The sequence below is a fragment of the Homo sapiens genome, chromosome 19, assembly GCF_000001405.40.
Source record: "Homo sapiens chromosome 19, GRCh38.p14 Primary Assembly".
Classification (NCBI taxonomy): Eukaryota; Metazoa; Chordata; class Mammalia; order Primates; family Hominidae; genus Homo; species Homo sapiens.
Window position 1 is genome coordinate 50,825,167 of NC_000019.10, and position 13,296 is coordinate 50,838,462.

Here is a 13,296-nt window from a genome sequence, read left to right on the forward strand (position 1 = left end):
TGGGATTACAGGTGTGAGCCACCATGCCCGGCCCAGAACTAAACCTTAAAGAAAAAGCCATTCTTGGTAATCTAGTGTCTGTTAGGTCCTTTAACTGGGATCCAGAGATAGAGGGTATTTACTCAGTGCCAGACACGATTTTAATCAGTTCAGACGAATCATCTCATTTAATCCTCACAACAGCCCTTTGAAGTCAGCAATAAGATGGTCTCATTTTACAGATAAGGAAACCAAGGCGAAGTGAGATTGGGCCTCTTGTTCAAGATCACACGGGTGGTCATGTGTGTTGAATGAATGGAGCCCTGCTTCAAGCCGCTTCTCCTCACCTAGGGATCGGGGTGGTGGGTGAAAAGGAACAGTGTACAGTGTCTCGGGGTTTCTCTTTGACCCCAGAAAAAAGTCACAGAAATTCCTACAGAGCAACTTGGATCAGCGCTTTGTTATCTTGGCATTAAACAGGTGACCTTGAGCGCCAGCTTTGTCCTCAGGTGGGACAAGTCCTTGGCTAACATCTGGGCCTTGGACAGGGTCTTGGGGGATGGCTCCGTTCTGTTCCATGTCAGGCGGGGCTGCTGGCCAGCTGTGGGGGCTTCTGCTCAGTCAGGGGCACAGGAGATAGGCTAGAATAGTCAGTTCCTCTTCATGGTTTCCCTGATCCACTCCAAGTAGTGGCAGACTTTGGTATAGACACCAGGCTTGGTGGTGTTGTCACAAGGGACGTCACCCCAGGACACAATGCCCTGCAGGATGCCCCCACAGACCAGGGGTCCCCCAGAGTCACCCTGTGGGGAAAAGAGGGGGTCTCAGGTTGAGTGAAACCTCCTGGATTCATCCTCATCCTAATCACCATTTGCAATCTCACCCCAAACCCAATCCATCCCCATCCCAGGGAACCCCAACCCAACTCAACTCAATACAGCCCAGTTTATCCCAAACAGAGCCAACCCAACCCCAACCCCAACCCCAATTCAACACAGCTCAATACAACTCACCCAACCTATATCCAATCTCACCCCCATGCAACTCCAGTGCAACTGTACTAAGTTAAATCCAACTCAGCCCACATCCTCACCATTCAAAATCAAATCAAACCCATGCCCATCTCAAAATCCAATCTCAATCTTCATGTCTTCTGCATTCCAAACAAAATCTACCTCATCCCAATTCAACCCTGACGTATTTCCCACCCAGAATCAAACCAAACCATTCCCATTCTCAACCCCAACCCATGCCATCTCAAACTAACTATCACATTATCCACCTCAAACAACGCAATCCCCACCTATAACCCCAACTCCAACCTCACCCCTATTCTAACTTCTCTTCCTACTCCATCTCCAAGCCTAACCCTAGCATCTTCTCTGGCCCAAAGCAAAGAAAATCCAACCCCATCCGGACTCCCACACCTGTCCCCATCCCTCTTCTTCCGCCTGATGGCCCCTCTAGGCTCTGACCTCACAGGATTCTGCGCCTCTGCCCTCCGCGCCTGCACACACCATGGTGTTTGTCAGGCGCCCTGGGTAGCTCTTGTCACAAGATGTGTCCGAGATAATGCTGATGTTGGCACAATGCAACGTATCTGGGAGACTCACTGGGGAAGACAGTGGACTTGGAGCAGATCCATAAATTCCGGCCCTTGTCCCCTCCGCCCAAGAGCCCTGGAGCATAGGATTCCTTGAGGCCTCGCATCCAGCTCCATCCTTTCACGCACCTTGTGACCGGGGGCTCCCAGCGGTCCCAGGCTCGTTGTGGGACACCAGGCCCCAGCCAGACACCACACAGGCCTCCCCCGGGTGGGGGCAACGCGTGGGTAGCACCGCGGGGCGCACCTGGGGGTTCAGGCGTGCGGGCTGGACTAGGCGCAGCAACATGATGTCGTTGCGGTGGCTGCGCGCTTCGTAGCGCGGGTGTGGAATGACCCGAGACGTGGTCCGTAGTTGCTCTGGGCCATCGCGCTTGCGCAGGTTGTGCTCTCCCAGGCGCACTCTCATGAAGCTGTGCGGGCGAGTGGTTTTCCCGCCAGTGGAGTGCGGGCCAGTGGTTACCCGCAAGTAGAGGACAGAAAGATCAAAGAGTGGGCAACCCGAGGTCTCCCGACCCTTTAGAAATCTCGACATCCCATTACCTTTTCCCAAGACCCTGAAGCCAATGGTTCCAGCCCCTGCTCCTCAAGGACCAACGAGTCTGAAGTCAGGCACACTCCTAGAACTCGATCCCCTCCAACTACTCCCAGCCCCCTCCTGGTCTGTCCCCGAATCCAGGATTCTCACATCCCTAGAACTGAGGCTCAAAAGCTGGAACTAGTCTTCTCCTTCCTCCTTCAGAGATCGAAGGCTTTGAAACACACACTCCTTCCTAACCCAGGGGCTTGACATCCGGCCTCCTCGTCTTTCAGAACCCAGGAGTTCTGGCGTCTGCCTCCGTCTTCCCCCAAATCTAGGAGCTCTTCCCCCCGAACCAGGCTCCCTCAGGACCCTGAGCCCCTGCCTTCATACCGGCTTTGGCAGTGGGCCGCAGACAGCACCCAGTGTGGGGAGATGAGGGAAGCGCCACAGTTAAAGCGTCCACGCTCGTAGAGAGCCACTTGCCATGGCTGGGAGTGGGGTGCACACTCGTCACCTTCCAGCAACTTGTCACCATCCTGGGCTGCTAAGAGAAGGGGTAGAGGATGCCTGAGGACAGGGACGTTTACATTGCCTCCTACACCTTCCTTGCACCCTGCCCTAACTACTATATGCCTATGCCTTTCCCCTAACTTCTCAAGACACCCTGCCCTGTTTTTGTTTGTTGTTGTTGTTGTTTTTGAGACGGAGTCTCACTCTTTTGCCCAGGCTGGAGTGCAGTGGCATGATCTCAGCTCACTGCAACTTCCGCCTCCTGGGTTCAAGTGATCCTCCTGCCTCAGCCTCCCGAGTAGCTGAGGTGCCCGCCACCACACCTGGCTAATTTTTGTATTTTTAGTAGAGACGAGGTCTCACCATGTTAGCCAGGGTAGTCTCAAACTTCTGACTTCAAATGCTCTGCCCGCCTCAGCCTCCCAAAGTGCTGGGATTACAGGTGTGAGCCACCATGCTCCGCCTGCCCTGTTGTTTATTTACAACCGCTGCCTGTTTTCTCCAGAACTCTAGCCCCCACCCCATTTGCTATAAGACTCTGGGAGAGAGAGGAAGGGGAACAGACCAGAGGGCAAGAAGTCCTCTGTGGTTGGGGGTGGAGACAGGGGCACTGGATACAGGTTCAGACAGGTGGTCACTTGAAACCAGTCATTCACGGTCACCAAATTGTCACAGACGTCAAACGCATGTGGCCACTCAGTATGTGTGACCCAGCCTTGGCCCCAGAGTCTGGACATGTCAGCCAAATTCAGTGTGCAGTATGAGTCCCAGATGTGGCTATACAAGGTCATGGACATGCATACATGCACATCCAGCTTCCACACTTAGGTACAGCTATGGACAGGACTGGAAGCTGAAATTCACTTGCATGCACATGGGTTGCAGCTTCAAGAATCACAGCACAGGCTGGGCACGGTGGCTCATGCCTGTAATCCCAGCACTTTGGGAGGCCGAGGCGGGTGGATCACCTGAGGTCAGGAGTTCGAGACCAGCCTGGCCAATATGGGGAAACCCTGTCTCTAACAAAAATACAAAAAATTAGCTGGGCATGGTGGCGGGTGCCTGTAATCCCAGCTACTCTGGAGGCTGAGGCAGGAAAATCGCTTGAACCCGGGAGGCGGAGATTGCAGTGAGCGGAGGTTGCTCCATTGCACTCCAGCCTGGGTGACAAGAGTGAAACTCCATCTCAAAAAAAAAAAAAAAAAAAAAAAAAGAATCACAGCACAGATGTTCATATGTGTATATGAATATGGATGGTTAAGACATGAATACATACACACACACACATGCACACACAAACACACACACAGAATTGGATATTGTTCAGACCTAAATTCAACATCTCTAGTGTGAGTCTTGGCATCCAGTGTCACAGACACTTGCATACAGGGTCTGGACAAAGATGGGTCCTTAAGCCTGGGTTCGAATGTACTAGCTGTGAAACTTTGAGTAAGTTATTCGACCTGTCTGTGCCTCTGTTTCCTCATCTGTAAAATGAAGATTGTTGTAAGGATGAGGTAGGAATGTGTATGTGTGTGTGTGCATGTGTGTATGTATGGTGAGTGATACCTAGCCCTGGTAGCTACTTAATAATATTAGTTGTTTTTTGCAAATGACACCTGGATTTAGTCACAGGGACATACGTGTGAAAGTTCAGGTCCATCCTGGAGATGGCCAACATAAGTCAGACATCTGCACAGAATTACCTATAATAAATAGTCAAGGTTGGCCAGGTGTGGTGGCTCACGCCTGTAATCCCAGCACTTTGGGAGGCCAAGGCCGAGGTGGGTGGATCACCTGAGGTCAGGAGTTTGAGACCAGCCTGGCCAACATCGTGAAATCCCGTCTCTACTAAAAAATAAATAAATAAATAAATAAAAATACAAAAATCAGCTGGGCGTGGTGGTGCGTGCCTGTAATTCTAGCTACTCGGGAGGCAGAGACAGAATTGCTTGAACCTGGGAGGCGGAGGTTGCAGTGAGCTGAGGTTGCACCACTGAACTCCAGCTTGGGCGGCAGAGCGAGACTCCGTCTCAAAAAAAACCAAACAAACAAAAAAAAGTCAAGGTTAAAACCGTGATTCACCCACAAGACATTTTGTAGAGTTAGAGCTGCAGACACCAACCCAGAAGGCCAACACTCAGATGTGGACTTGCTGTCTGGGGCAGCACCCAGACACGGGGCTGGGCATTCAAGGTCAAAGACATGCAGCTGAAGCCAGAGGCAGCCAGGGCAGGACATATTTATCCATCTCTAGATCAGCCCCCAAGCCAGATCTGTGGAGTCACTGATTGGGTTTCACATATGGGGATCTGGCTCATGCATGTGGAGAGGATGTGAACATACAGGGCCTTGTATACCCACTGCACACGTGCATGTACACACACACACACACACACACACACAGAATGGCATTATGCTTAAGGACATGATTAGAGACATTCAAGGTCACAGGACCAGGACCCCTCTCCACTGGGCAATGTGGATGCATCCCCTGAAGGTTGAAGCCATGCACACTCCCACCCACACAGGGGCAGGATTTGCACAGCCAGACCAAATGCCCACACTCTCCCCATCACAGTCAGGAACTGGGCCAAAGGCCCCCGTGAGACCAGGGGAATGCGGATGTGGTGGACAAGGGGCTTAACAAAGGAAGGGTGAGGTCGTCCTCCGAAGGGCGGAGGGTACGGGCTGAACAGCTGGGCACCGAGGCTGCACCTGGCCAGTCCAAGCCAGAGGAAGGTGGAGGCCCCAGCTGGGCGCAGCAGGCAGGCGCGAGGCAGGTAGGTGAGTGCACAGAGAGAGCCGGAGGGGAGGCTGGAGGCGTGGGGGTCTCAGGGGCCCCCAGGAGTGAGGGTCATTTGTGGCAGAACGTTAATGAAAGTCCACCCCCCAATTTCTCCAGAAGAGAGGCATCAGGTTACAATTAATTTCTTGGTGTGTGGCAGCTGAGTTCAATCTGGAGTTTGCCTGACACCCAAGGTGACCTTGATGTTGTGGCCGTCCCTCTGAGCCACAGCCCCTTCCCTTGTCAAATGAGGTCGGTGGTGCCCACCACACATAGACGTTGTATGTAAGCTCTAAGCACCGTGCCTGGCTTGCACACCTGAAGGGGCACTACCTGGGCCAGGCTTATGCTTCTGCCTCACACACAACCACATTTAATCCCCTCAAAGACCCTGTAAGAGACAGGGAGTGGCAGGTGTGGGACTCAAGCTGGAGTCTGTCTGTGCTGTTGGCCTCTCAGCACTTGTCTAATGCTTGCTATGTATATTACCTCTGTTATGCTATTGAGACCTCACTGTTATTGTCTCAAGTGGGTGCTGTCTTATAGAGAAGGCATTCGAAGCCCAGAGAGGTGAAGCAGTTCCCTCAAGGACACACAGCAAGGAAGCGGTTGCCCCAGGACTCAGCTCAGGTTTGTGTAACCCCAGGACCGTGTTCCTTGTCGTGGGCAGCGAGAGGCCCCAGGCAACATAGCGACTCCAGAGCAGCAGCACCAGCACCTGACGGTAAGGGCTTAGGGACATTGGCACAGGTGGAGGGTGAAGGAAGGATCTTTAGTGGTCTCTGGGTGAGGTAGGGGCTGGCAGATCACTGGGCCCAGACATGCTTGGGAAGGGGGCACCTGCTCCCACAGACCTGGCCCCCTCCTGGGGCCACCTCACCTGTGGATGCCAGCAGGAAGGAGAGAGTGAGGAGAAGCCACATTGTGGAGGAGGGACCAGGGTTCGGCTGCAGTCTGGGGAGGGAGTGAGAGAATCCAGGTGAGGCAGGACCCTTCTGCCTCCACCAGGATCCCTCCAGACACAGACTTATCCCATCCACTGTTAATAAATTTCTTCTGACCACCGGTATCCCCTTCCCCCAACCCCACTCTGCGCTTCCTTCTGGGTCCCCCATCTCTGGAAGGTTTACTCTTCCTCTAGGCACTCGGACAGACCCTGCCCCACCTCCTCCACCTGTCAGCCTCCAGCACCATGCTACCAGCCCCTGGATCTCTCTCCATCATCACCAAGGACCCCTGTCCCAACTTTTTTTTTTTTTTGAGACGGAGTCTCACTCTGTCACCCAGGCTGGAGTGCAGTGGCACAATGTCGGCTCACTGCAAGCTCCACCTCCCAGGTTCACACCATTCTCCCGCCTCAGCCTCCCGAGTAGCTGGGACTACAGGCGCCCACCACCGTGCCCGGCTAATTTTTTGGAAATTTTTTTTTTTTAAGTAGAGACAGGGTTTCACCGTGTTAGCCAGGATGGCCTCAATCTCTTGACTTCATGATCCACCCACCTCGGCCTCCCAAAGTGCTGGGATTACAGGCATGAGCCACCGCGCCTGGTCTATCTCAACCCTCTTATCTGGCCTTTTGGGTCCCCCTCCAGTCCAGTCCCCTCCACCAGCTTGCCCTCCAGCCATGACCCCAAAGGGTCTTTCTACATCTGGAGCTGGCTGTGCCCCTCCCCTGCTCACCACCCTCCATGGATCCTTGGCACCACCAGGATAAAGTCCAGCTCTTCAAATTCACTTTCTTTCTTTTTTTTTCTTTTTTTTTTTTTTTTTTGAGACGGAGTCTGGCTCTGTAGCCCAGGTTGGAGTGGAGTGGCGTGATCTCCGCTCACTGTAACCTCTGCCTTCTGGGTTCAAGAGATTCTCCTGCCTCAGCCTCCCAAGCAATTGGGATTACAGGTGTGTGCCACCACGCCCAGCTAATTTTTGTAATTTTAGTAGAGACGGAGTTTCACCATGTTGGCCAGGCTGGTCTTGAACTCCTGACCTCTAGTGATCCACCCGCCTCAGCCTCCCAAAGTGCTGGGATTACAGGCATGAGTTGCCTGGCTCCAGCCTCACTTTCAAGGACAAAAGTGGCTTCTTCCCTTCCAGCCCCTCTCCCTGGGTCTCCCATGACCTTGTCCTAGACGCAGCCAGTGCTGCCATTTTCCCTCCTGCCATTTCATGCTTAGGCTATTCCTCCCACCGCATATCCAACGCCATTCCCTTCCAGCCCCGCTTCCTCCTTGAGGCCTTCTCTGACCTCCCCTGACCCTCAGTGGTGTCTGCCTCCCCTACGAGACTGGCAGCTCCCCGAGGAGCTGGTCTGACTCCACTCTGGGTCTCCAGTACTGCAGGGCCCGACCCACGGGAGGCCTCAGGAAGCTTTGAGGGTGAATTGAAATCCTTCTTCCCCATATCTTCCAAATTCATCTTTGTCCTCTGACACTCTGCCCCCACCTCTTCTGGGAGGCCCCAACACCTAACAGGTGTCTCCCCTGAATCCCACAGCACCCATTCTGTCTCCATTACAGCGCAGATGCCCCATACTTGCTGAGGTCTGGCCTGTTCTTTTCTCCATCTGGGGGTCTTGAAGATGGGGCTCAGGTCAGGTTCTTTCTGTGACCTCAGCACTGCCCCACCTGGGGCCTGGTACACAGGAGGCCTCCGGGAGGTTGTGCTGAACTGACTTGAACCCGTGATCACTCCTGACCACGTTCTTGGCTCTGATACAAGTACTTCAGGGACGTCCTCCTGATCCACTCCATCCCCCTCCCTCCCCACCACTGCAGCTCCTTCTGGCCATTCCAGGACATTTTCTTGGTTCAGGTTCAATTTGGGGCATTGGTAAAGGACACGTGGATCTACCCATGCCCTTGACACTCAGTTCTCCAAGCGTGGTCAACGTTTCCCCTTGAAACCAGGGCACAGTGAATCTCCCCTTTGCCCCTCCCTCAGTCTTGTCTCAAAGCTCTCACCTCCTCCAGATCCTCCAGCAGCATCTAGGGCAGCTTGGGTGCCAGAAGGGAGCAGGTACCAGGATGCCTGAATTTATAAGCTCCCAGTCCCAGCTGGGTCTGGGGGTGTGGTGGTGTAGGGTGGGGTGGGAGGTGGCTGAGAGTCAGGTTTACAGGCAGAGACGCCTTGGTTGCTGGTGGGGTGGGAGACTTGGCCTAATGAGCATTTATTAGGTTGAAGCTGTTGTCTGAGTCCACAAAGAGGAATTCTCCACCAGGAGCAGTTCCTCAAGGGGGAGGGGACAGGAGGACAAAAACAGAAATTAGGAGGAGATCAAAAGACAGAGTCTGGAATTTGGGGTCTGGAGTGTGGAAACTGGATCCTAAAGTCCCTGTTCTTGGGCTTGGGGCAGAGTTCTGGATCCCGGGTTCTGGATCCGGATCTGGTTCTGGATCTGGGTCTTGGATTCTGGATTTGAGGATCTTGAGTTGGAGATTAATGACCTGCAGTCTGGAATATGGATTTCAAAGTCTGAGTTCTTGGGCTGGGGGTCTGGAATCTGGATCCTGGAGTCGGGCCTTTGAGTGACAGATCGTGAACCTTGATTCTGGATCCCGGGGCATTCGAATCTAGAACCCACAATAGGAGCCTGGAATCTGGTGTTTGGAATCTGGCAATCGAGGCTGGAAACCTTTGCACCTGCTATGAGAAGCCTGGGGCCTAGACTACAAATGGTAGATTTGGGATTTTGAATTGTGGGGTCTGGATTCTTTTTTTTTTTTTTTCTGAGATGAAGTTTCGCTCTTGTCACCCAGGCTGGAGTGCAATAGCGTGATCTCAGATCACTGCAACCTCCACTTCCTGGGCTCAATAGATTCTCCTGCCTCAGCCTCCTGAGTAGCTGGGATTACAGGCGACCACCACCACGCCCAGCTAATTTTTATATTTTTAGTAGAGACAGGGTTTCACCATGTTGGCCAGGCTGGTGTCGAACTCCTCATCTCAAGTGATCCACCTGACTCAGCCTCCTAAAGTGCTGGGATTACAGGCGTGAGACACCATGCCAGGCTTGGGGTCTGGATTCTACAGGGTGGATCTAGCCTCTGAGCTTTCAGGAGTAGACTTTGGAACATACAGTCTGGAGTTTCAAATCTGTTTTTGCATTGAAAACCTGGACTGTGGCTGGGCCCAGTGACTCATGCCTTTGGGAGGCTGAGGTAGGAGGATTGCTGGAACTGAAGGGTTTGAGACCAGCCTGGGCAACACAGCAATACCTCATCTCTATGAAAAATCTAAATAAATAAATAAATAAGTAAATAAATTTTTAAAAGGCTGAATTGAGAGACAGGGACCTGGCTTTCACGATTCTGAGATTGCTAGAATCTTGACTCTAGAGTCTGAATTTAGAGTCTGGGAACCCAGGGTCTCTATTCTGGTCCTGTAGTCTTATTTCTGGGTTCTAGAGCTTGAAATCTGGATTCTGCATCCCAGAGGCTGGAGATGATCACTGAGATGACCCAAGGCTTTGGGTATTTGAGGCTGGCTTCCAATGTCTCAGAACCCCAGAGGGCCCCAAGCAATTATCTAGAGTCTATTTTGGCTTAATTAATGAGGAGGTCCCAAGACAGGAGGGACTGACCTCACTCAGGTCACCCAGTGAAGGATGGGACCTGTTGTAAGCGTGGTCTCTCCCCATGTGTGGAAAGTCATCATCTTTATGGGAAGGATTCAGCCATTCTAGAACTACAGGCCCCTGGAATTTCTAGAATATCAGACTTTCAGATTCTAAAAGCACAGGCCCTAAGACATTCTGGCAGTGGAGGACACTCTGGAAGGTAAGATTTTAGAATAGCCTAGAACCACAGAGCTCCAAACACTCTAGAACCTTCGAACATCGGGCACTCTGGAGTCCCCAGAAACCTCATGCATTCTAGAACGTCGGGTCTCCAGACATTCTACAAGCCCAGACCGGCAGACATAATAGATCCCCAGGTTGGAAGCTATTCTAGAACTCCTATGTCCCTTTGCCTCCCTCCCCACAAATTGATGCTCAAAGTCTGCGGGCCTCACCCTGGGCCACCGCTTCAGCTGAGCAGCCCTGTTTATGGAATGCGGCTGCAGGCCACTCCTCCGTGCCAAGTGCTCTCTTTGTAGGATCTCACTCCGGCTCCCGGCAGCCCTGTGAGGTGTTTATATTAATAACCTTATGGCTTCCTGCTGAATACGGAGGAAACTGAGGCCCAGACAGGAGGCAGCACAAGCAAGGTTCCTGCAGAAGCGAGAGGCCACGCGGGAGAGGAATCAGTGTTCCGACTCCGGAACGCCCGGTGGGCCCTTTCGCCGCCACCCCTGCAGCCGCCTCCCTCTGTTGGGGCGCGGTGGTGACGAGGGAAAGGAGCCGAGCCCCTGGGACTTCCTCGGTGCCAGGTCTGTGCTGAGCGCTTCCCGTCACGATCGCACGTGCTCCTCCTCCTAACCAGCCTAGGCAGGTACTGATGAAGCACCCCTGATACAGACGGGGACACTGAGGGCGCTCCCGCCGCGCCGAACCCAGGCGCGCACCCGGTCTGCGCTCGGCTCCCTGGAGGGCGCGCAGCCAGCGGCTCCCGCAGCCCCGCCCCCACGCGGTGACGTCGGCGCCCCGTCCCCGCCCACTGTGTCTGGCTCAGGCTCGCGCGATCGATGTCCTCCTGGACGTGTCCGCGGACGTCCTTCACCTCCACCGCGGCCTGGGTCCCGCCCACCGCGGCCTGAGTCTCACTTTTGCCCGGCTCCTCCTCCTGAGAACGTTCCCTGGGAGTTTTTCATCAACTCCCGTGGTTCATCCACCAACCACGCAGGTCTCCTCCATCTGACCCTGAACTCCGGCTTGGGCAGCCACCTGCTCCTGGGCGCCCCCTGCACCACTGTCCCTAGGCCCCTCTCACTTACCGAGTCCCAACTCATTGCTCTATTTCCCCAAACCCTCCTTCCCTGTTCTTCCACGTTCTTCATCTCAGGGGCAGCGTCACCGACCACCCAGTTATTCGGCCAGACGCCCTTGGCACTGACCTTGCCCCATCTCTCCCCTTATCCCCTACAGCCCATCGGTCCCCAGCCTTGTCCCTTCGGCCCCTGCCTCTCTCTGCCCCGTCCCCTCCTCTCTGTCCCCTTGGCCTGGCTCCAGCTCAGACGTCCTCCTCTCTCTCTGGACCCTCGCTCCTCCTGTCCGGGAGGACAGCCTCCTGTCGGTCACCACGTGGCCCTAGAGGGTCTCTCTGCACTTGGAGATCACCCCGCCCCTCCCCTGCTCACAGCCTTCCCTTGCAGCTCCCCATCACCCCTGGGCAAGGTCCCGGCTTCTCGGTCTGCAGTTTTAAGCCCTTTGAGATTCCCCAGCAGGAAAAAGCCTCCCCTCAAACCCCCTTCTCAGGGGGCCTGCAGACTGCCCACCTCCGGAGCGGGACTGGACTCGTGGTGCCCGAAGGGCCTCCCCATGAGGTGCTGGCCCTCTTCTAACTTAGTCTCACCACGGCCTCCGTTCCTTCTGGAACCAGACAAGCTGCTGTTTCAGGGCGCTGGGTCTGGATCCAGACAGCATGGGTGCAGATCTCTGTTCCACTACTTACTATTTTGGGAGACCCTGGTAAGAGTTTTTTCTTCTCTGTGTCTCAGTTTCTTATCCTTAAAATCAGAGGATCCCCTCGTAGAGTTTTTCGAGGAGTAACGACTTAGTTTGTGTTAGGAGCTCAGAGCATATAGTAAATTATGACGATTCATTCATTTAACACATGAGCAGACGGGAGTGCGGGGGTCACTGGTGAAGGTCACCCAGGCTGCAGAAGTGGAATCAAGAGAATGGTTCTCGGGGTCCTGGTGCCCCTTGTGAGAAGCATCAGCTCTCTGGGTGTCAGGTGCTCATCTGCGAAGGGGTCTTCCGTTGCGGTGGGGTGGAAATGGGAGGGACCTCACAGGGGTTGGATGAGGTCATACCCATGGAGCAGGTGTGCGAATCATAAAATCAGGCTGAGGCTTGCAAGACCGGTTAACACGGCACGTGATTCAGATGTAGCCGCTGGAGCCAGGTGGCCCGGGTTTGAGTTCTGCCTCTGTCCCATAATACTGTGCACCCTCAGGCAAGTCACTTAGCCTCTCTGTGCCTCAGCTGCCTCAACTATAAAGTGGGGGTAATAATTGCTCCTCCCTCTTCTGTGGGAGTGTTTTGAGGTGTTCATTCTTGAAATCTGTGCCCGGCACTGAGTGAGTGCTGGGCCATTATCAGTCTGTCCTATTACCCTTGGGAACTGAAAGCTGGGGAGGGATGGTTATGTGGGGTCTTTCTCAGATGACACAGTTGGGTAGCAGCAGATTTGGCACTGGAAGAAGCCACTGTGCTTTTTGTTTTGTTTTGTTTTCTGTTTTTTGTTTTTTTTTTTTTTTGAGACGGAGTCTCGCTCTTGTTGTCCAGGCTGGAGTGCAATGGCATGATCTTGGCTCACTGCAACCTCCGCCTCCTGGGTTCAAGCGATTCTCCTGCCTCAGCCTCCTGAGTAGCTGGGATTACAGGCACCCACCAGCACAGCCGGCTAATTTTTGTATTTTTAGTAGAGTTGGGGTTTCACAGTGTTGGCCAGGCTGGTCTTGAACTCCTGACCTCAAGTGATCCACCTGCCTTGGCCTCCCAAAGTGTTAGGATTACAGGCGTGAGCCACCGCGCCCAGCCAGAAGCCACTGTTTTGATCTCCCAGATGTGGTATCTTTTTCTGAATCCCTGTGACCCCTTTATCAAGACCCCTGTTTTACAGATGGGGGAACTGAGGCCCAGGGAGAGGAAATGGAGGTGTGAGACCCTGGTATGAGAGTGTGACGTCAAGCAAAGAGAATGTCACACGCAGACGAGTTCTTCTCTGAGACTTTATTTCCTGGGCTGTGCTGGGGGAAGCTGGAGGGGAGGAGGCAGAAAAACCCACATCTTCT

The 13,296-nt window shown here is 53.7% G+C and overlaps 1 protein-coding gene and 1 long non-coding RNA gene across 10 annotated transcripts in view, besides 3 other annotated features; one reads left to right on the plus strand and one right to left on the minus strand.

The window, feature by feature from the left end:
• Positions 123 to 8,408, minus strand: KLK15 (kallikrein related peptidase 15). Of its 8 annotated transcripts, none has more exons than NM_001277081.2 (6): positions 8,361 to 8,408; positions 6,284 to 6,357; positions 2,496 to 2,646; positions 1,712 to 1,995; positions 1,455 to 1,591; positions 123 to 782 (listed from the first exon to the last, which is right to left on the minus strand). In NM_001277081.2, exons 2-6 carry the CDS (start codon positions 6,324 to 6,326, stop codon positions 630 to 632), a joined length of 768 nt encoding a protein of 255 aa, NP_001264010.1. In that variant the 5' UTR covers positions 6,327 to 6,357; positions 8,361 to 8,408; the 3' UTR covers positions 123 to 629. The 8 variants fall into 8 exon arrangements, 7 of the variants coding, with proteins under 7 accessions (NP_001264010.1, NP_059979.2, XP_047295020.1 ...); NM_017509.4 differs by having other exon boundaries at positions 2,496 to 2,649; NR_102274.1 differs by lacking the exon at positions 8,361 to 8,408 and having other exon boundaries at positions 1,830 to 1,995.
• The window catches only part of LOC105372441 (uncharacterized), a 20,614-nt gene continuing 12,681 nt past the window's right edge, over positions 5,364 to 13,296 (plus strand). Inside the window, exons 1-2 of one of the 2 annotated variants that reach the window (NR_131205.1) lie at positions 5,364 to 5,398; positions 5,933 to 6,127. This is a non-coding gene — a long non-coding RNA (uncharacterized LOC105372441). The remainder of the gene's footprint in view (positions 5,399 to 5,932; positions 6,128 to 13,296) is intronic. The other variant, NR_131203.1, reaches the window with a different exon arrangement.
• Positions 10,798 to 11,057: a silencer, noted in NCBI's record as "silent region_10981". NCBI's record gives its function as "represses an Ori minimal core promoter by ATAC-STARR-seq in GM12878 lymphoblastoid cells {active_cell/tissue: GM12878}" and the evidence as "EXISTENCE:reporter gene assay evidence [ECO:0000049][PMID:35858748]".
• Positions 11,218 to 11,267: an enhancer, noted in NCBI's record as "active region_15003". NCBI's record gives its function as "activates an Ori minimal core promoter by ATAC-STARR-seq in GM12878 lymphoblastoid cells {active_cell/tissue: GM12878}" and the evidence as "EXISTENCE:reporter gene assay evidence [ECO:0000049][PMID:35858748]".
• Positions 13,253 to 13,296: part of a silencer, noted in NCBI's record as "silent region_10982", that runs on past the window's edge. NCBI's record gives its function as "represses an Ori minimal core promoter by ATAC-STARR-seq in GM12878 lymphoblastoid cells {active_cell/tissue: GM12878}" and the evidence as "EXISTENCE:reporter gene assay evidence [ECO:0000049][PMID:35858748]".

Bases quoted from the DNA above. Each gene is read 5' to 3' on its own strand.
- KLK15 (NM_017509.4), bottom strand. From the start codon at position 6,326: ATGTGGCTTCTCCTCACTCTCTCCTTCCTGCTGGCATCCACAG. The intron at 2,650-6,283 runs GTGAGGTGGCCC...CCCTTCTCTTAG, and splicing joins CTTCCTGCTGGCATCCACAG to CAGCCCAGGATGGTGACAAG. The intron at 1,592-1,711 runs GTGCGTGAAAGG...TGTCTTCCCCAG, and splicing joins TGGGAGCCCCCGGTCACAAG to TGAGTCTCCCAGATACGTTG.